Here is a 22,054-nt window from a genome sequence, read left to right on the forward strand (position 1 = left end):
GTCTCTACTAAAAACACAAAAATTAGCTGGGCGTGGTGGCGCACGCCTGTGGTCCCAGCCACTTGGGAGGCTGAGGCAGGAGAATCGCTTGAACCCAGGAGGCAGAGGTTGCAGTGAGCCAAGATCGCGCCACTGCACTCCAGCCTGGTGACAGAGCGAGACTCCATCTCAAAAAAAAAAAAAAAAACGAACTTTAGTGTTCTCCATAGTCAATTCAAAATGCTTTACGTTCTGAATATATTAGTTGTCTATTGCTGTGTAACAAATTACCAATACCTCAGGGCTTAAGACAACAAACAACAAAAACAGCAAGCCTATGTTGACTATATGGACTCCCACAGTTTCTAAGGATGAGAATCTGGGAGCGGCTTTGCTAGGTGGTTTTGGCTTTCTCATTGTCTGAAAGAACCTGCTTCCAGCTCACCAACTCACCAGCTCACCAACCACCAACTCATGTGGTTGTGGCAGGCCTCAGTGCTCTGCCGGCTATTGGCCTCCTTCACCCCATGAGCTTCTCCAGCTTCTCCATAGGCAGCCTGAGTTGCTCATGCTATGGCAGCTGGCCACTCCCAGAGTGATCAAGAGAGAGGGAAAGCCCAAGGTAGAAACTGCAGTCTTTTATAACCTCATCTCGGAAGTGAGGTACCATTACTTCTGCCATCTCCTGTTGGTCACACAGACTACCCTTGCTGACACAGAAGGGACTGCACAAGGTGTGAATGCCAGGAGGCGGGGTGCTGTCTTGCAAGCTGGGTACCACCCTGAGGCAAGGACGCTTTCTGAATTCCATGGTTCAGGAAGCACAGCTAAGGAAATAATAACTAATTAGTGTATATTTTTTAAACTTTATGAGATTTCTTTTGATATACATTGATGAGAAAGAAAAAAACAATGTCAGCACTAAACATAATCTAGTACAAAATAAGTCTTTCTAGAACTGATTTTATTTATTTTACTCCTTTTAAAAGTAAAATTTATACTACTCAGGTTTTTCCTTTTGTGGATATCCAGTTGACTTGTTTTACTTTTATTTTATTTTATTTTATTCATTTTAGAGATGGAGTCTTGCTGGAGCACAGTGGTGCAATCTAGGCTCACTACAACCTCTGCTTCTTGGGTTCAAGTGATTCTCCCACTTCAGCCTCCCGAGTAGTTGGGACTACAGGCATGCGCCACCACACTGGGCTAATCTTTTGTATTTTTAGCAGAAACGGGGTTTCACCATGTTGACCACCAGGCTGGTCTCAAACTCCTGACCTCAAGTAATCCACCTGCTTCGGCCTCCTAAAGTGCTGGGATTACAGTGGGCGTGAGCCATCACGCCCAGCCCAGTTGACTGTTTAGTGATGTACCAAGGCTTAGGGAAAAGCCTGAAATTTCTGCTTAGATTGTTGCTTTTAACAAATCCTGATTATTGACTGTTACGTGGAGTCTTTCTGCTTGGCCCTGGTTGTTTCTTGTTTTGTGCACGTCTCATCTGTTTGTGGCATTTCTGATGGAAAATGTCTTATTTAGATTCTGTCCTGTACGTTTTTGATTGACTTAAATTTCTGTGACTTTAACAGATAAAAATCTGGATAATGCCGCAGAAGCAGCTGAACAATTTAAATTAATCCAAGCAGCATATGATGTGTTGAGTGACCCTCAGGAAAGAGCATGGTGAGCATCACGCTGTCCTTCCCATCCTAGTTTATGATGTTGGGAGCAGTTATCAATATAGGTGGTTGTTTTTTCAAATTTAGTACATTAAATGGTTTTTGGTGTGTTCTGAAACATCTGTCACCTAGTCATCACATAAAATCTAACGTTTGGGTCAGAAGGAAGCTTGGAAATGATTGCTCCAATTATCTGATATCATAGGGGGTGAAACAAAGTTTGGTGATATTATATAGTTTTAATTTTGATACTTTAGGTGACTTCTCATTAAATACCCTTTGGTGTATGATAGATTTACTGATATCAGACAGGTAGAAGGTTTTCGTTTTTTGTTTTTTTTTGAGACGCAGTTTTGCTCTGTCACCCAGGCTGGAGTGCAGTGGCGCAATCTCAGCTCACTGCAACCTCTGCCTCCCAGGTTCAAGCGATTCTCCTGCTTCAGCCTCCTGAGTAGCTGGGACTACAGGTGTGTGCCACCACACACCTGTATTTTTTTTTTTTTTTTAGTAGAGACGGGGTTTCAGCATGTTGGCCAGGCTGGTCTCAAACTCCTGACCTCAAGCAATCCACCTGCCTTGACCTCCCAAAGTGCTAGGATTACAAGTATGAGCCACTGTGCTCAACCAATACAGTGTTTTAATACAAGAATGGTAATCCTCAAAACTACTTTATATGAAGAAATTGAATTAAGCTTCTGCATCTGTGACAGATATTACTAATGATGGTGTGATCATTTAAAATAATTTCCAGATGAAAATTACTATGTTGAAGTTCTGAGTTTTCAGATTCTCAATTAACTTTTTGCTACAAGGAAATAGGTTTTAAGCTTTGACATAACTGTGCAAGATCCTGCTCTTACAAAGAGCTACTGTGCAAGTCATCTTTCTGTTAAACAGTGTACAACCAGGTGGTTGTCAAGAAAGAAAGGCTGCAAAGAAAATTCTTACAAAATTGTGTTTCATAAGAAACTCAGAGAGAGGATCCTGAACATTTCTCTACTCAAGGAATTTGGAGATCTGGTCTTAGAATTGCTTTTGCCTTCTTCCCAGAACTTTGAAATTCTTTCCTGACTTCCTTTTGCCTACTCTCTTCTCAAGATCTTGGGTTGTTTTCTGATCCTTGGGATTCCTTTGTCTTTTTAGTCAAAGCTCTTGCCTAGTAACTCTCTTTTTACCTGGAAGCAGTACCGTGTAGTGGCTAGGAGCTGGTCTTCCCAATGTAGGAGACCTGCTTCTGAATTCAGACTTTGCTGGTTACTGGTTTTATTATTATGGATGACAAATTATGTAATATCACTGAGCTTCCATTTCCTTTTATATCAGATGGAGATAATAACTGCCTTTACAGAGTTATTATGAGAAGCAATTGTGTGTGTGTGAAGCTCCTAGATTAAGTTGACATAAATTTAGGAAGATTCTTATTCCAGTGCATCTTGGTAAATTTCCAAATCACAGATGTGTAATGATTCTGTGGGCCAGATTTCCTATGTCCTGTTTTATGTTTCTTTCCTGTGGAAGTACGGGACTCAGAGACAGTCATGGAAATTCCTTGGCTTTTTAAATTCCCCTGTTCATGTGGGCTAGCATTGTATAATGTATCAGAAGTTGCAGGCCTAGTTATAATTAACAGTTCTGTGAAAGATTATGAACTCTTTTCATGTTAATATTTCATTAAAAATTTTTGGTTATGGATTGGACATATCAACAACCAAAAATGTACAATAATAATATTCAAAAGGAGCAAGAAATCCTTTTGAATTCTTACTTATTCAGCCTTCACAATGATGCTAATTTTTGTTTTTCAGGTATGATAATCATAGAGAGGCCCTACTTAAAGGTGGGTTTGATGGCGAATATCAAGATGACAGCTTAGATTTGCTACGCTATTTCACCGTTACCTGTTATTCTGGTTATGGAGATGATGAAAAGGTAAGATAAATGAACTCACCCTTGATTTCTCATCAAGTACTTCATTAAGACTCACATACAAAGAGAATTCTTAAAACTATTCTGTAATAGAAAGTGAAGCAGTGTTCATTTTGAAAACTGAAGATGCATTGCCTTCATGTTTAAGCTGTCAGTGTATAAAAACCTCTAGTTGAAATCTAAATGTATTGCAGGGACTGAACTTTGTCCCAAAATTCTTCAACATTAAAATTTTTCATTTTGTATTTTAAAATCTTTTTCTGTGATCAGGCTGCAAAAGTATTAAGAATTTGTTTTTGTTACTGTTTTTTAGGGATTTTACACGGTGTATCGTAATGTTTTTGAAATGATTGCCAAGGAAGAACTAGAATCTGTGTTAGAGGAAGAGGTTGATGATTTCCCAACTTTTGGAGACTCCCAGAGTGACTATGATACGGTAAAATAAAAATGCATTGTTCTATAATTAGTATTTATCACTGTGTCATTTTTAAATTTTATTTTACTTTTTGAGATGGTCTCACTCTGTCACCCAGGCTGCAGTGCAGTGGTATGATCATATCTCACAGCAGCCTCAAACTCCTGGGCTTAAGCAATCCTCCTACCTCAGCCTCCTGAGTAGCTGGGAACACAAGTGTGCGCCACGACATCTAGCTAATTTGTCAATTGTTTTGTAGAGATGGGGTCTTGCTAAGTTTCCCAGGCTGATCTTGAACTCCTGGCCTCCCTCCTTGGCCTCCCAAAAGATTGGGATTACAGGCATGAGCCACAGCTCCCAGCTTCTCATTTCCTTGTTTTAAAACAATTGGTTCTAGTTCTCGAACCTATCCCATGACCTCTCTTTGTCTCTCTTCCTTTCTGAAGTAGCTTTTCGATCTCTTGCAACCTTCCCCCTTTACTTTTCCCTTTTTATTTTTTATTTTATTTGTTTATTTTTTTTGAGATGGCATTTCACTTCTGTTGCTCAGGCTGGAGTGCATTGGCACCACCTCAGCTCACTGCAACCTCAGCCTCCCGGGTTCAAGCGATTCTCCTGCCTCAGCCTCCCAGGTAGCTGGGATTACAGGCTCCCACCACCATGCTCAGCTAATTTTTGTATTTTTAGTAGAGACAGGATTTCATCATGTTGGCCAGGCTGGTTTCAAACTCCTGACCTCAGGTGATCCACCCACCTCAGCCTTCCAAAGTGCTGGGATTACAGGCGTGAGCCACCATGCCTACTTTTCCCTTTTAATTTACTAATTGTTTACTGATTATTTACTAATCACCATGGTCCCATCTAGTGATTAGTAAGGCTATTTTTATTTTCTCATTAAGTTTATTTTGAAGAGTGATTTTTTCTGGAAAGCCTTAAAAGTACTGTCTTCTCCAGAGATTATTAGAAGTGTTATATACATGAAAAAAGAAAGGTAAAAGATGTTTCGCATCAGTAATATTTACTGCTTTTCTAAAAAAAAATCTTAAAGCGCAGAAGTTAATCTGTTTTCTTTGTCACTAGGTAGTCCATCCTTTCTACGCTTATTGGCAGAGTTTCTGCACTCAAAAGAATTTTGCATGGAAGGAAGAATATGATACACGACAGGCTTCAAACCGCTGGGAAAAACGAGCCATGGAAAAAGAAAACAAAAAGATTCGGGACAAAGCAAGGAAAGAGAAGAATGAGCTTGTCCGTCAGCTGGTAGCTTTCATTCGTAAAAGAGATAAAAGAGTGCAGGCGCATCGAAAACTTGTGGAAGAACAGAATGCAGAGAAGGCGAGGAAAGCCGAAGAGATGAGGCGGCAGCAGAAGCTAAAGCAGGCCAAGTGCGTAGCGTGCGTGGGGCCCTCTTCTCAGTATCGGTGGGGGTCAGAGGCAGCACCAGAGGTACCTTACATGTTCATGTTGGGTTCAGTCATCAGCCTGGCTTTATCCTGCTTTTTCTTCTTTTTTAAATTGTGGCATTGGATAGTGTTTTTTCATCTACTGTGTAAAAATTATTATTATTTTTGGGACAGTGTCATTCTGTCACCCAGGCTGGAGTGCAATGGTGCGATCTCGGCTCACTGCAACCTCCGCCTCCAGGTTCAAGTGATTCTCCTGTCTCAGCCTCCCAAGTAGCTGGGATTGCAGGTGTAATATGCCACCATGCCCAGCTAATTTTTGTATTTTTAGTAGTGACGAGGTTTCACCCTGTTGGCCAGTCTGGTCTCGTACTCTTGGCCTCAAGCGATCTGCCCGCCTCAGCCTCCCAAAGTGCTGGAATTACAGGTATGAGCCACAGTGCCTGGCCTAAAATTTTTATTTGAATTGGATATTTTCCTTCAGAGACCCTTTACATTTGAGAGATCCTTTAGACTTTTGTAAAACTTAATAATTTTAATTAATAACTAGCGTTAATTGAATTCTTCCTCTGTGCAAGGCCACGTTCTAAGTGCCTTCCTCACAGCAATGCTGTGAAGTACTTATCCTCCTTGTTCTTCTGAGGAAACAAGGCTGACAGGCCTGAGATCACAGAGCCAGTAAATGGTAGAGTCAGGAATTGAACCTGAGAATTCTGACTCCAGACTTTCCTGCTTTAGCCACCGTGCAGTACTGCCTTTTGGTCAGTGTACCCTGAGATACTCAGTTCATTTTAGTTCCTCTAAAGTTTTGTTATTAAAAAGTTACTGTAAATGCATTGTGTCCAGAGCATTATAGCATACTTTTAAAAATTATTCACTTCTTAAGAATTCTACTCATCCCACCCTCATCTTTTGAAAATTAACACTTTACCTACATGACTTAAAATCATCTGAAGACTTTTAATAAGTTGCTGAGTTTCATGTTTCAAAACCTGTTATCTACTACTGGAGCAATTAAAATTAACCATACAACAGGTAACAGGTTTAAGTGACTTTGCCTTGGTTTTAACTAAGCACAGGTTTTAAGTTTGTAAGCGTGGATAGGTTGGGAGCAAGCTCTCTAGTGGGAATGGATTTTAAACCTAAGTAGTAAGTGAAAACCATGCAGAGGCGTGCTTGTCGCTGTGAGACTGTGCTGTATGTGTCTAGACTGGTGGAGCAGTACAGAGAACAGAGCTGGATGACTATGGCCAATTTGGAGAAAGAGCTCCAGGAGATGGAGGCACGGTACGAGAAGGAGTTTGGAGATGGATCGGATGAAAATGAAATGGAAGAACATGAACTCAAAGATGAGGAGGATGGTAATATTATTTTTATTTTATTTATCTTTTTTGTTTTTTAAGTGAAGCTGGAAATCTCCTTGCTTATTTGACATCTCCCAATTTTTAAATGTGGCAAATAATTAAAAATAATGTTGTATGGGCCAAAGGTAGTCGGCTGAGCTAGTCTAATTCAAGTAATTTGATTAACAAATTCTTTTCTGACCATGTCCTAAACAGTGTGTACTTCTAGCTGCATAATATGACAAATGGACATGTTTACAAGTGTGACTATTTTTTTTTTTTTTTGAGACGGAGTCTCGCTCTGTCGCCCAGGCCGGACTGCGGACTGCAGTGGCGCAATCTCGGCTCACTGCAAGCTCCGCTTCCTGGGTTCACGCCATTCTCCTGCCTCAGCCTCCCGAGTAGCTGGGACTACAGGCGCCCGCCACCGCGCCCGGCTAATTTTTTGTATTTTTAGTAGAGACGGGGTTTCACCTTGTTAGCCAGGATGGTCTCGATCTCCTGACCTCGTGATCCACCCGCCTCGACCTCCCAAAGTGCTGGGATTACAGGCGTGAGCCACCGCGCCCGGCCAAGTGTGACTATTAAAGAAAATTCAACTAAGTGATAGGTCAAGTTTTAATAGTAACTATTTCTAGAAAAGCTGATATTGCATGAGAATCTATGTGTTGTGTATAAATTCTTCCTCTCCCTTGTGACTTTATAGAAGGGCTCCTCTTGGTGTGCCAAAATGTTGTTTTTTTTTTGCCGCTATCATTAGAGCACAGGTATTTGACTACCTTAAAAGGCAAGGATTAGGCATTTTTGAGAATAGCTGTATATCTGATTTTCCCCACTGTCTCTATAAAATTGACCCAGTTTTACCTTATCTACAAATGTGATTTTTCAGATTCGTAGCCCAAATAATAAAATGATAAACTTTTATTTATTCAAAATGACTAGGAAGTGAAGCGTTTTATTAATGAATCAGAAGTAATACTTTTGAAAGTACTTTGAAAATTATAAATCACTCTATAAATGTGAGGTGGCCTAATTTCCATCGAGTTTTACAATTTATAAAGTCCTTTCACGTACAAGCTCTCACTGGATCGTCACACAATCCCCCTTACATGGAGGTTTTGCTCATGGAATCGTCTCTGTTTTGCCGTTGTGGAAACTAGGACTCTGAGAAGCTATGAGATGTGCCTGAGAATGTATGACCATTTTTAGATCCAGAGTTTTTGCTTCAAATCCAGTATTGTTAACTATTCGATTAATTAAAATTTCACATACATGATATATTGAAAGTCTACAATACCATAATGGAAAATTAACACCATATATTAAACATTAACACTAGATAGGGTATATTTTGATCATTTATGATTTCAATGAGACAGTCCTTCAAAATCATACTGACATCACTTATAAATAACCAACATGTAGAATATGGAAGATACCTTGAGATATTTATTGGTCCTATAATAAATCCCAAATGACAGTTTACATGTTTGTTTCTTCAAAAATAGAATACGGATTTGTGAAAATAATTTCAATTGAGCTTTTTAGTCAGTTGGTTTTTGTGGACTATACTGATAGTAATTATTCAGTTGTAATAAAGCCAAAAGCTTATTAAAAAAAAGTTTATAATGTTAAACTTTACATGTAATATGTTAACTTATGGCCTATCCGTCTTACAGTGATGGAATGTTATAAACTTATAAACTAAGTTTATTAAGTATTTAAGAGTAAGTCACAGTTGTAAATGTGTTTGGACCAAATCTTGCTCAAGAGGTAAACTAAGAAAAGACCTTTTTTGAAAAACTGCTTCGTGGTAGAACTATGAAAGTGGGATTTAATTTTTTAAACTTAGCTGACATCCAAGACTTTAAAGATGTTTTATATCTTCTTCTAAGTAGACTTAGGAAAAGAACTTGAAAGTTAAGGTGCTTTATTTGGAGCCTTTCCTTATAGTACAGTGCTGCTTTTAAAAAGCCAACTCAAATCCTTAGGATTATTTTTTTTTAGGTAAAGAAATAAAAAAATTTAATTTCTAATTTGTTAGCATATTTTAGATTTGTGCTCTGATCAAAGAGGGTTCTTACTGTAGGCTTCCCTGTCATAGGTAAAGACAGTGATGAGGCCGAGGACGCTGAGCTCTATGATGACCTTTACTGCCCAGCATGTGACAAATCGTTCAAGACAGAAAAGGCGTAAGTTTATTAATTTAATTTAATTTAATTTTGAGACAGGGTCTCACTCTGTCACCAAGGCAGGAGTGCAGTGGCACAGTCATGACTCACCACAGCCTCGACCTGTTGAACTCAGATGATCCTCCCATGTCAGCCTCCCAAGTAGCTAGGGCTACAGGAACCTGCCATCATGGCCAGCTAAAAAACTGCAGTTACTTTTGCACCAACCTAAATATTTTCTTTGGAGATGGGGTTTTGCCATGTTGTCCAGGTTGGTCTTGAACTCCTGGATTCAAGTGTTCCACCTGCCTCAGCCTTTCAAAGTGCTAGGATTGCAAGCGTGAGCCACTGCATCCAGTTAAAAGGAGTAAGTTTAGTATCTCTGAACTTGTGTTTTCTTTTTTTTTTTTTTTTTTTTTTTGGAGACAGAGTCTCACTCTGTTGCCCCGGCTGGAGTGCAGTGGCACGATCTCAGCTCACTGCAACCTCCACCTCCTGGATTCAAGCGATTCTCCTGCCTCAAGCTCCCGAGTAGCTGGGACTACAGATGCAGGTCACCGCACCCAGCTAATTTTTGTATTTTTAGTAGAGACAGGGTCTCACCATGTTGGTCAGGCTGGTCTCAAACTCCTGGCCTCAGGCGATCCACCCACCTCGGCCTCCCAAAGTGTTGGGATTACAGGCGTGAGCCACAGCGCCTGGCCCTTGTGTTTTTTTTTGAGGTGAAGTGTAACATTTTGAAAGTTCTAAAAACAATGTGCTTGTAGCAGTTGATAACTAGCCCCACATACTGTCTCGGGGGATTCCTTTCCAGCAGGGTAGAAAGAGGTATTTGTACCTGCCATTAAACCTGTTGTACTGATTGTCACTCATCCCAGTATTCCTATAGCTGCTTTTAAAACACATGCACTGTCTCCAGAAGCATTGCTTGTTTTGGCAAAGAAGACATAGTCACATGGGCAAAAAGTCTAGACCGTGTCTAATCATCTCCCTCCATCATTGGTGTCAGACTCACTTCCCACCATCATTGTCCCATGCAGGCTGATGCTGCCAATATAGGGGCTTTAAACTTGTCTGGCCCAGAGTATCTTTGCTGAAGTGGAAGAACTTTATCTTAGGGGAACAATGATGAAGAAAGAAGTATTAAAACGGATACCATTATTATAAAGGAGGGAGGAAACAACACGGGAGAAAATGGGAGTAGAATCAGCAAGGGAAAAAAAGCAAAATGGGCAATCAGAGAGAAAGGAGGCCAAAGGATGAGAATGGCGCTGTGAGAGTCATAAATGGTATTACCATATGACCTCAGGGAGAAATGACAGAGTACTAGGGGAAGTGGAAAGAGGCAGAAAAATTAGAAACAAGCAAGAAAAAGGTCAACAATGAAGGAGATTAAAAATTTTTTTTTATTTGGAAATGACACACTTAAAGGTAAATTGCAAGAAGAGAATATAGTGTGTCTGATTGACCTGTTACTAACGTTTTGCACAATTTGCATGTCCTCTTTCTCTCTACACGCTCAACACACACACAGTATTTTTCTGAATAATTTGAAAGTAACTTACATATATAGTGTTCCTTTACCTCTAAATACTTCACTATATCTTAAGAATAAGGTTATTCTCGCTGGGCGCAGTGGCTCACGCCTGTAATCCCAGCACTTTGGGAGGTTGAGGTGGACAGATCACCTGAGGTTGGGAGTTTGAGACCAGCCTGACCAACATGGAGAAACCCCGTCTCTACTAAAACTACAAAATTAGCTGGGCGTGGTGACGCATACCTGTAATCCCAGCTACTCAGGAGGCTGAGGCAGGAGAATCGCTTGAACTCAGGAGGCGGAGGTTGTGGTGAGCCAAGATCGTGCCATTGCACTCCAGCCTGGGCAATAAGAGCAAAACTCCGTCTCAAAATAAAAAAAAAAAGTAAGGTTATTCTCTTATGTAACCATGCTACAGTGACCAAATAAAAGAAATTATTAACATTGATATGGTATTTTTATCTAATTTACTACCTGCATTCCAATTTTGCCAATCAATTATTTATTAATATAGAATTTTTCTCCAATACAGAATGCAGTCTAAGAACATAATCTGGAACAGCTTGTGTTGTCTTTTATGCTGTTTACATTTTAGAAGTACACTGTTTTCACTTTTTTCATAGAATTCTTCTCATTTTGTCTTTGTGCATTTCCTCATGATTAGATTCAGGTTATGCAGCCCCAGGAGGGACGCCGCACAAGCATGTTGTGCTCTCAGGGATTCATAGCTGGAGACACGTAAAGTCCTTCTACCCCTCATTTGTCGTGATAATTTTCATCACCCAATCAAGGTGTCATCTAATTTTACTACTATACTACTAATTTTACTATAGAGTTAGTATTTTTTCCCTTGCAACAGGTTTTCCCTTGTAACATGTTTAATCTGTGAGGAGACACTTTAAAACTATGCAGATATCTTGCTTCTCATAAAAGTTTTCCTCATAGCTTTAGCATCTGTTGATGGTTTTAGCTTGCGTCAGTCTTTTTTATGATGGTTGCAGAATGATGCTTTTCCAGTGCCAGTACCCCCTCAAGTTTTTATCAGTTAGCACTTGGCCTTCTGCTGTAAACAGGAGCCTTCCCTTTTATCCATTTATCTATTATCAGTTTGAATTTATTTCTTTTTTTCAGTGTTTTATAATTCATTACTGACCTTTTCATGCTCAAATTTTTCCAGAATTGGTTAGTGAGCATTCCTTCAAACCACCCTTGTGTCCTTTTGACATGTGCTTATAACTTTTTTGGAGGACTTACTTTCAGACACAGGATCTTCCATTATCTCCAGGGCAGCTTGGTCTCAAGGAGAATTTTAGTAGGAAAGAAAAACAGCAACTAAAACTATAATACCAAAAGCCTGAACAGATGAGATGAAGTAGATAGTTGACAAAGTTTCCTGCTTTTTAGTTGATATAACTCTTGTAGCTTATGTTGTCAACCCTGTTTTGTTGAATGCTTTTTAGTTGCCTGTAGGTGTGCTGAGACAGACATTGCCAGCAGGGTTTTGAACACAGGGATAGAGATGTGTCTGAATGTACGTTACGGTGGTGAGAGTGAGAAAGGAGACCTCTCCTGAGAAGGTGAAAAGCAGCTGTTGAAAAAGCAAGAGGCAGTAAACTGCTCTTGTATTTCAAGCCTTCCCACCACCATTTCTCTAGTCCAGGGGGCTCTTCCTTTTAACATTAAAATGTGTGTCTTCTAATTTCCCAGTGATCCCTCCAAGTCTGTGGGATGGCCTGGAATGTAAAAACACTTAGCAAATACTTAGTGATTAAAAGAAAACAATGGCGGAAGCTTTAAGAATTGAAAAATCAAAATAATAAGTAGAGAATTTGTCCAAACCTCCCCCTGCCGACATTCCCCCATCCCCAGAAAGGAAGAAAATGTATGTAGATAAAAGGACAGAGAAAGACAGGGAAAGCTGTGGTACGGAAAGAAAGAGTGTGGCCACGAGCTTCCAGTATGCTCACTGCCAAGGAATCCTGACACGTTCTGTTTCTCTGTATAAAATCATGAACAAATAAAAAAAAAGAAAAAAATAAATAGAATCAGAAACGTTTTGCTTAGTGGGAAAAAAGCTAATTTTATCTTGGTTGCAGTTATCCAGCAACATTATCTGGACACGTGAACTAATTTTAGCGCAGCTGCTCACGTCAGATTGCTCTTTCAGCATGAAGAATCACGAGAAGTCAAAGAAGCATCGGGAAATGGTGGCCTTGCTAAAACAACAGCTGGAGGAGGAAGAAGAAAATTTTTCAAGACCTCAAATTGATGAAAATCCATTAGATGACAATTCTGAGGAAGAAATGGAAGATGCACCAAAACAAAAGTACTTCTAAATATTAAATGTCACTAGAAATACTTATCACATTCAGAGATTGCATTAAAAGGTTTTTTTTGAGATGGAGAATCACTCTGTTGCCCAGGCTGGGGTGCAGTGGCGCAGTCTCAGCTCACTGCAACCTCCAACTTGTGGGTTCAAGTGATTCTCCTCCCTCAGCCTCCCAAGTAGCTGGGACTACAGGCACACACCACCACGCCCAGCTAATTTTTGTGTTTTTAGTTGAGACAGAGTTTCACCATGTTGGCTAGGCTGGTCTTGAACTCCTGATCTCAGGTAATTCACCTGCCTCAGCCTCCCAGAGTGCTGGGGTTACAGGTGTGAGCCACTGCGCCCGGCCTTAAAGGCTGTTTTATCCCAAGGAAGTTATTCTAACTAGAAAAGATTGTCTCCATATTTTCTAGTTAATGGAACTTTATAGTGTTGAAGTGGATACAGACGTCAACTATAATATTTATAGAACATATTATCACTATATTAAAAGCAGTTTTTATACCTGGCAGTTGATAAGCTAATTACTATCCATTGAACTACAGCCTTGTGTTATTCTCTAAAATGACAATGTGAATACTTTATTTTCCTTTTAATGCTTTAAGATATTAAATATTTTTAATCTTTTACTTCTGTTTTACTACTTTATCACTAGTGTTTCAACTTTTTTTTTTTTCCACTTACTCTTCACAGAGTCAAGTATTTGACATTTCGATTTATATTTGCTCTTAGGCTTTCTAAAAAACAGAAGAAAAAGAAACAGAAACCAGCACAGGTATGTTAGAAAGGTTTTGTTAACATTAAATGCCAACGATAAAGTTGCAGTGCTCTTATTTATTCAGTGTAGTCTGTGTTAAGGAGAGAAACTTATACTCCATAATTTTATGTTGATTGTAAGATTGATTAAAAAGGAATTAGAAATATTTTCCTTTTTTAGTGCTTCCCCCCCCTTGTATGTATGTAATAACAAACTTAATTATGACTGCCAGTGTGTTTAACAAGTATGCATGTAGAATTCCCCTGGTATGAATTAGCTGAATTTTCAGTATTTTAAAAATCTGAATACATCTCACAAAAGGCTTTTAAGTCAAGACAACAATTAAAATCTTGAAATAGGAAAATCTGGGATTGGTCATTTTTTTATCTCAGTTTATTCTGCCAACAACATAAACATTGCAAAAGGAACATTTGGTTAGAAACTTGTAATGATTGTGAGTCTTGAAAAAATGTTTCTATTTTTCTGAAGTTTAAGTAATTTAAATATTTCACAGCTGAAGTCCAAATTCATTCTCTGTCTTAAGGACTATTTTTAAATAAAATGGTATTATGTTGTTATACCTATAAAAATAAAGTGAATTTGTCCATTTTACCAAGGACATTTGGATTTATGGCATTTTAGTATAATCTAGTTATATTAACTTACATTAAGTATTAAATATTTTTAAGAAAACACATTAATGCTTTTTAATAAAACTTCAGATTTGGTTTATTTATCCAAATGGTTATAATAATATATTTAATAGTCTTTTTTAAAATCAGTTTCCTATTCAAAAAATGATATATGACACATGAGTTAATCACTTAAAATTGTAATTTGGAACTTTTTGCTTCAGTTATAAAACCGCATAGCAAATATGTGTTCTTTTTATAAATTGACATCTACCATCATCCATCCAAACACCTTATAATTATTAGTTTGGAACACTTTCTCTTTCCTTTGTGTATGTCAGTACCATTACAGTAAGGACAAAATAAATGGAGAGAGATTTATGTTTAACCTGAGCCTGTATTACCTTGATTAATGGAGCATAGATTCTATTGATTGCAACCATAAACACATACGTTAGTATTTTCTTACTGATGAAAATGCTTCAAATGAACACCCCATCGTTTCTCTCAAAAGCTATATTCCTTTATAGCATCTCTCGTTTATGATTCCTGATTGTAGCAAGTTCAGACCTAGCTTGATGTAACACTTTTCCTGATATTTTCTAAGCTCTTTTTGAAGGGAAGGGCAGTGTGGAGAAATGTACTGATAGATTTAAGAGCAGACGGCAGCAAATAATGAGTATCTTGAAACTTGAGATTGGGGAAGTTTTCTGTATGGCCAGAAAAATTCCATAACCAACAAGGAATTGTACAAGAAAACCCTCCCAGATTAAAACTGAATGTAAATAGAAAGAAATGACCCTGACTGACAGGAAAGAAAATTTAATTCAAGTAACTCAAACATAGTACTCTGACTGAATACCTTCCAAGGGATATAGTTGAAAGATAAAATTAACTGCCAAAAAAGTAAGTCCTGAATTTAGTATGTTTTTTGGTGGTATTGGTGTGGTATTTTTGAAAGTAAATGAGTATATTTTCACCAATTTCATAGAGGAGGCATTGATGTGCAGAAATGTTGAAGTATCACGTAGTTAAATTTTTCTGTTCTTTGTTAATCACATATTTAATGTTGTGTCTAAGAAAATGGTTCCAAGACCCATGTCATTTCTTTCCCCTATATTTTTTCTAAGAGGTTTGTTAGTTATTTTTATGTGTAAGTATTTTATTTAAAATATTTTTTGTATATGATTCAAGGAGAGGATCCAGCTTTATCAGTGTAGACATGCAGTTTTCACCATGTTTTTTTTTTTTTTTTTGAAGAGATTATCTTTTCTCTATCATGTGCTCATGGCAACTTTGTGGAAGATCATTTAATCATATATAGAAGAGTTCATTTCTGTGCCGTATTCTGTTCTGTTATCTGTTTTTCTGTCTTTGTGTCAGTACCACATTGTTTTTGTTATTGTAGCTTTTAATATGTTTTGAAATCAGGAAGTATAATGCCTCCTCTTTTTCGTGAGTGCTTGGCTAGTTATAGTTCATAATCAAATTTAAAAATTTTAAGCAATAGTTCTGTAAAAAAAAATCCTGTGCTATTGGGATTTTTATAGAAATTATATTGAATTTGTTCACAATGTAGGTTGTATTGACATCTTAATAAAATTAAATTATTTGATCCTTGACCCCTCCCCCAAAAAAAGGAATTAAATGAATAAATTGTAGCTGGGAACCATATTCTTTTTGTGGGAAGAGGGAAATACAAATATAAATTGAGGAAAAGAGAAGAAGAATACTGTAGAGTTGGATTGAAGTGGAGATGTTGGTATGAGCCCATGATTTAAAGAAAGTAAGTGTGTGAGCAGTGTGCATTGTGAGGACCTAGAAGCAGTGACACCCCTAGCAGTGAGTACACCTAATGCACACGTTTTGGTTTTTAAGTTCACTTTTCCATGAAAAGGAAACAGGCTTGCTCTTTGGAGAAATACCTGATTTCAGGGCTGAGACTAGGAAAGTGGAACGTGAGCCTAGAGCATCTTATACTAGAAACTAAGGAAGTGCTCAAAAACTGATGGGGATACGTTAGAAGTACTCAAGATCCAGCTTGCGGGGCCTGCCAGTTAGGGAAAACTTGAGTCATCAAAAGGAATAAGGGTAATAGATCTTCATACATTGCATTTGTTAAAAAGAAATTTATGTATCTATATTGACTTTTAAAATAGTGAGAGCTGGCCAGGTGCGGTGGCTCACGCCTGTAATCCCAGAACTTTGGGAGGCCAAGGCGGGTGGATCACAAAGTCAGGAGTTCAAGATCAGCTTGGCCAACATAGTGAAACCCCATCTCTACTAAAAATACAAAAATTAGCCGGGCGTGGTGCCATGCGCCTGTAATTCCAGCTACTCAGGAGCCTGAGGCAGGAGAATCGTTGGAACCTGGGAGGCTGAGGTTGCAGTGAGCTGAGATCACGCCACTGCACTCCAGCCTGGGCAACAGAGCAAGACTGTCTCAAAAAAAAAAAAGTTGGAGAAAGGAGATAGGAAAGCTTTATTATTACAGAAAAATATTAATTAGTACAAGTGCAAATGACACAAGTAATAGAGGGAGAAAATCACTCTTCTACATCCACCAGTATATAAATGTTTCAGGCAAGAATCATTAATAGATGCCAAGTATATTCGGTAAATGGTCATGGGGACAGGATATTCACACAGTCTCAGAGTCACACTCTGCAGATTACTTATTAATTTAAAAAGGGAAAACATACTTTACAGTTGAAAAATCTGGCAATACCACCCTAACCAAATGATCAAACTTAATAATATCACTGAAAAATGACAAACTCATTTTGCTTCCCGGGATTATAGTATTATGCTAGAAATGTTTAACCTGAATCTGATCATTTGGAAACAACCAAACAAAGCCAGATTATGGGACACTCTACAAAACATCAAATTGTCAACATCATGAAAGACAAAAAAAAAGTGGGGGAGCTGCTCTAGAATAAAGGAGATTAAAGGTACCTGACAACTAAATGCAACATGTGATCCTTGATTACACCCCCTATCCTGTATATCCCTATACAGGAAAAGGAGTAATTGGTAAATTTGAATGTGGGTTGTGTAACAGATAATATTAGCATTAGATTCTTGAGTGTGAGTATTGTGCCAGAGAATGTTTTGATTCTTAGGATGTACCTGGCAAAGATTCATATCTGCCTGCAGCTCACTTTCAGATGGCTTGGGGAAAAAAGTGTGTGTTGGGAGAGAGAAGAGATGGAGAGAGCGAGCACAAATGTGCCAAAATGTTGCTTGAAAACAGACAGGTACGCTTAGGATATGTTTGCCAGGCGTCTTTCTTTTATAATGCCTGTTTGTTGTTGCCATTGTTTGTGACTGTAGAAGAATAGTTGCTCATTGCTTATCATTTGGAATATGGAAAAGTATCATCCTTAATTTTACCTGTAGAGATTACTTAATAAAGAATTAAATTGTGATTACACTATGTATAATTTTCTTTCTTCTACTTTTGCTAATATGTTGTAAGTATTTTTTCACATAATTGAGTATCTTTGGAAACATGATACTTAAGCACTTCAGAATTTTTCTTCATATATTCAGCCATTCACTTTTTGAACATTTGGATTCTTTTCAGATTTCCCTTAATTTACTATCACTGTAATGAGCATCCATGTTCTTAACTTACCTGCTTCTCCTTTTTATTTCCCGAAGGTATATAACTATTTGGCAACATAACATAAAAAGCTAGTAGTAGTATTATATTTATTTTGTAACGGCACATATGTTTTATTACCTAGAATTATGATGACAATTTCAATGTAAATGGACCTGGAGAAGGAGTAAAGGTTGATCCAGAAGATACTAACTTAAATCAAGACAGTGCCAAAGAATTGGAAGATAGTCCCCAGGAAAATGTCAGTGTCACAGAGATCATTAAACCATGTGATGATCCAAAAAGTGAAGCTAAAAGGTAAGTCAAAGTTGCATATTATTTGTAAATTACTGAATATTGATAGTAAGGATGTAGCTTTTCATATATCAAATAAAATCTTCTTTCCCATGACTGACCAGGTAATTTAGATGTATCTGTACATATTTATGTATAGATACACACACACATATGTATACAGATGAAGAGCGTTGAGAAGAGGATGCTAGAGGAATGTGCCCACACACATCTCAGCAGCATGGCCAAAATCAGAAAGATGTCACTTTGATCCAGTTCTTGTTTACCTTATCCTGCTGTGGCGCTGATTTTGTCGTGGATCATTAACACTTGACACTCACATGAGAACAAGACTCCTGCTGCGTCCCTGGAGTGTCACTAAGCAAATCTCCATGCTCACGACAGCAGCCTGTGTTGGGCCCCACCATGTTGTGAGGACACATGGCAGCAGCTGGGGCCCTTCCTGCTCAGAGGAGCCCTGGACTCTTGGTGCTGCACAAGGCCATGGTGTGGACTAGGAGGAGGTCTCACCCAAGGGAGGTAGCCAGTCCTGTTCTCTCCTTCCTCCTCTTGTCTGACTTTCTTTTCCCCATCCTCCTCGGTTCCTCTAGAACAGAGAATCATTTCTTATTTCTTGAGGAAAGATCTGATAGTGAGGAGCTTCAAGTTTCTGTCATTACAGAACCCTGAAAAGAATTAAAGTGAGAGAGCAAAGTGGGAGCATGACGTGAAAATGCTAACACTGGAGCAACAGTGATGGGGTGGGGAGTGTGTGTACTTCGGAGTTTAAGGCACTTAGTAGTAGGAAGGAGGAAACAGATGTGGGTGAGACCTACAGTATGACTCTGGCTATAGAAAAAGGTATATAAAGAACTACACAAACTGGTAATGTTGAAGCTTTGAAGAACTTTGGAGAGTTGAAGCCTAGAAAGGGAAATTCACATGTATTTCACTCTGACACCAGGTGTTTGTTCCCTTTCTACAAATGGGGAAACTGAATTTCAGGTTAATTGTCCAAGGACAAAAGCTATTGAGTAGAAAGGCTGACACTTCATTCCATCTGCCTGACAACTTGAAGGCACCCAGATCATCTGACTCCATGGAGCCTGTGTGTCCTGTGGGATGGGCACAAAGAGTGGGCCAGGAGGTGGGGCTCTGGGCCCCTGAACCCCTTTTTCATCTAAAACTAAAATGTTTTCCATGTTACTTCTTTTTTTTTTTTTTTTGGAGATGGAGTCTCGCTCTGTTGCCCAGGCTGGAGTACAGTGGCGCAACCTCGGCTCACTGCAACCTCCGCCTCCTGGGTTCAAGCAATTCTCCTGCCTCAGCCTCTCGAGTTGCTGGGACTGCAGGCATGCACTGCCACGCCTGGCTATTTTTCTGTATTTTAGTAGAGACGGTTTCACCATGTTGCACAGGGTGGTCTTGAACTCCTGACCTCATGATCTGCCCGCCTTGGCCTACCAAAGTGCTGGGATTGCAGGTGTGAGCTACCGTGTCTGGCCTCCATGTTACTTCTACATGAGAATTGATCTGGGGAGGAAGAAGGGTTCTCAGGCTTGGGCAACCACTGATATAGTTCAGCTCTCTAATTTCACTGATGTGAGGAAAGGATTCAGAGAATTCAAGTGACTTCTTCACAGCTGCAGAATGGCAGAGCTAAGATAGATACATTATACCCAGCACCCTCCCCACACCACTCTGCTGTCCCCTGGATCCAGGGCCTTTATGCTGGCAGCTCCTCTGTTGCTTCTCTGGAGTGGTGTGGACACTGGCCACCTACTGAGAAGTGTTTTTTTAAAAAATGTGTGTGTGTGTGTGTGTGTGTGTGTATAGTATTTTTAAAAAATAAAGGTCTTAGATATCAGCTTCAGAGATGTAACTGTCTTTCATAATATAAGTGATGTTTGCCAGGAATATTATCCTAAATTTGTTAGACATATTTCTGACATATCTGTGATGATAGTTTGAAAATTAGTATGTATTATTTGTTGCCTTTTATGCCATTGTGTCCTTTTCTTGATGTTTTCAAAGCTGGCTGAATCCTACACAATATGTTACACTCCTAATCTGCATTTTTTAAATGCATAGGCCGTTTAACTTAGCACAGACTATTGGCCTCTGCTTGAAGAATAGTATACCTATAAACTGGAAGCATTATCATCACTTACTCATTATAACCCATCCTGTCTGTTCTGTACAGTATAGTTGGACCCAGATTTTTACCCTATGAATTTGGTTAGCACAAATGGGGGAAAGTATGAAATGCCAAGGAAAATTGAAATTCATGTAGGAGATGAGTAGAGGAATGTTCAGGAGTTCAAGCAGAACAAGAGGAACCCAACTATACCGTTTCTGATCTAAATGGTATGGTGGGGAAAAACCATCAGATCAACAGAAAGGACATAATTTTTAAATAAAAGTAACTTCCTTATATTGAGCAAATTTAATTTTATGAAAAATGCATTACAAAGTCTTTGTTTCACTCATTTCTCTGTGCGACTATTGAAGTGTTTGTTAAACTGGATCACGTCCAAGAAGTTAATGTTAGGCCAGGCAGGGTGGCTCACGCTTATATTCCCAGCACTTTGGAAAGCCAAGGCGGGTGGATCACGAGGTCAGGAGTTCGAGACCATCCTGGCCAATATGGTAAAACCCTGTCTCTACTAAAAAATACAAAAATTAGCTGAGTATGGTGGCACGTGCCTGTAATCCCAGCTATTCGGGAGGCTGAAGCAGGAAAATCGCTTGAACCCGGGAGGCAGAGGTTGCAGTGAGCCAAGATCGCGCCACTGCACTCGAGCCTGGGTGACAGAGTGAGACTCCATCTCAAAAAAAAAGTTAATGTTTTTGGGGAACCACACTTCATGTCAGATCATTTATGATTACCGTTGGTTAGTTTTGAAGATGGTTTGCTCCTTTAAATGGAGTATTAAGTGCTTTGTGCTTTTTTTTTTCCCCCTGAAACAGTCTTACTCTGTCACCCCAGCTAGAATGCAGTGGTGCAATCTTGGCTCACTGCAGTCTCCACCTCCTGGGTTCAAGTGATTCCCCTGCTCCTCCTCCTAAGTAACTGGGATTACAGGTGCCTGCCACCACGCTCAGCTAATTTTTTATATTTTTAATAGAGGCGGAGGTTTCACCATGTTGGCCAAGCTGGTCTCGAGCTCCTGACCTCAAGTGATCTCCCCGCCTTGGCCTCCCAAAGTGCTGGGATTACAGGTGTGAGCCACCGTGCCTGGCAGTGTTTTTATGAAAACACTGTATAAAACATTCTGTATAAAACACTGTATTAAACACTGTATAAAACATTTATCTCTGTATAAAACATTCAGAGATATTTTAAGGACCTTGTTTTAACTTTGTTTCAACTGTTTTAAGGAAATTCCTTAATTTTTGTGCCAAATTTGATATTCAATTTGATTTCTGAAGTTGCTTTTTAAAGATGTTCATTTAAGATGTAAAGATTATTTAAATTGCCTTTAAAATTAATGAATTAACTTTTAAAGTGCAGTTCACTTTTTTGAGTGTTCTAGAGAGCACTCAAATAATGATGGTTAAAAGGAGTATGTTATTTTTGGATTATGCTGAATTATTTATTTTCCAGTGTTCCTAAACCCAAAGGAAAGAAAACCAAAGATATGAAAAAACCTGTCAGAGTACCTGCTGAACCACAAACAATGGTAGGTCAAAATCATATTCATATCTCTTTAGCATATCTTGCTGTTTAAGCAGTATAATGATCTAAAGATGGAAATGTGTATTTGGTGAGCCATTCCGCAAAGAGCCTGCAAAGATGTGGATCCATCAACAGTTTTGTTTGATATAATGTATCTTTTTTTTTCATTAAAATAAAAAGAAGCACATTGGAAATGCTAGACTGTACCAGAACAGTTACTGTTGTTTTCTATTACTTTTCAATCTAAAGCCTTGGTGATAAGAATTACATGTGTCAAGTTCTGGAGATTAATTGTGAAGCATAAAC

General features: G+C 38.8%; 1 protein-coding gene across 9 annotated transcripts in view; it reads left to right on the forward strand.

Moving 5' to 3' along the window:
* The window catches only part of DNAJC21 (DnaJ heat shock protein family (Hsp40) member C21), a 29,406-nt gene that overhangs the window by 2,691 nt on the left and 4,661 nt on the right, over positions 1 to 22,054 (forward strand). For 2 of the 9 annotated variants that reach the window (XM_011513965.3, XM_047416722.1), the window contains exons 2-12: positions 1,566 to 1,659; positions 3,461 to 3,584; positions 3,895 to 4,017; positions 5,077 to 5,381; positions 6,609 to 6,760; positions 8,847 to 8,934; positions 12,618 to 12,776; positions 13,473 to 13,554; positions 17,294 to 17,428; positions 17,921 to 18,093; positions 21,677 to 21,752. In XM_011513965.3, coding sequence (XP_011512267.2) covers positions 1,566 to 1,659; positions 3,461 to 3,584; positions 3,895 to 4,017; positions 5,077 to 5,381; positions 6,609 to 6,760; positions 8,847 to 8,934; positions 12,618 to 12,776; positions 13,473 to 13,554; positions 17,294 to 17,428; positions 17,921 to 18,093; positions 21,677 to 21,752 — 1,511 coding nt within the window. Of the gene's footprint in view, positions 1 to 1,565; positions 1,660 to 3,460; positions 3,585 to 3,894; positions 4,018 to 5,076; positions 5,382 to 6,608; positions 6,761 to 8,846; positions 8,935 to 12,617; positions 12,777 to 13,472; positions 13,555 to 17,293; positions 17,429 to 17,920; positions 18,094 to 18,194; positions 19,937 to 21,676; positions 21,753 to 22,054 lie in introns of those variants that run through there. The other 7 variants (NM_194283.4, XM_011513966.3, XM_047416719.1 and 4 more) reach the window with 7 other exon arrangements.

The sequence above is a fragment of the Homo sapiens genome, chromosome 5 (assembly GCF_000001405.40).
Source record: "Homo sapiens chromosome 5, GRCh38.p14 Primary Assembly".
NCBI lineage: Eukaryota > Metazoa > Chordata > Mammalia > Primates > Hominidae > Homo > Homo sapiens.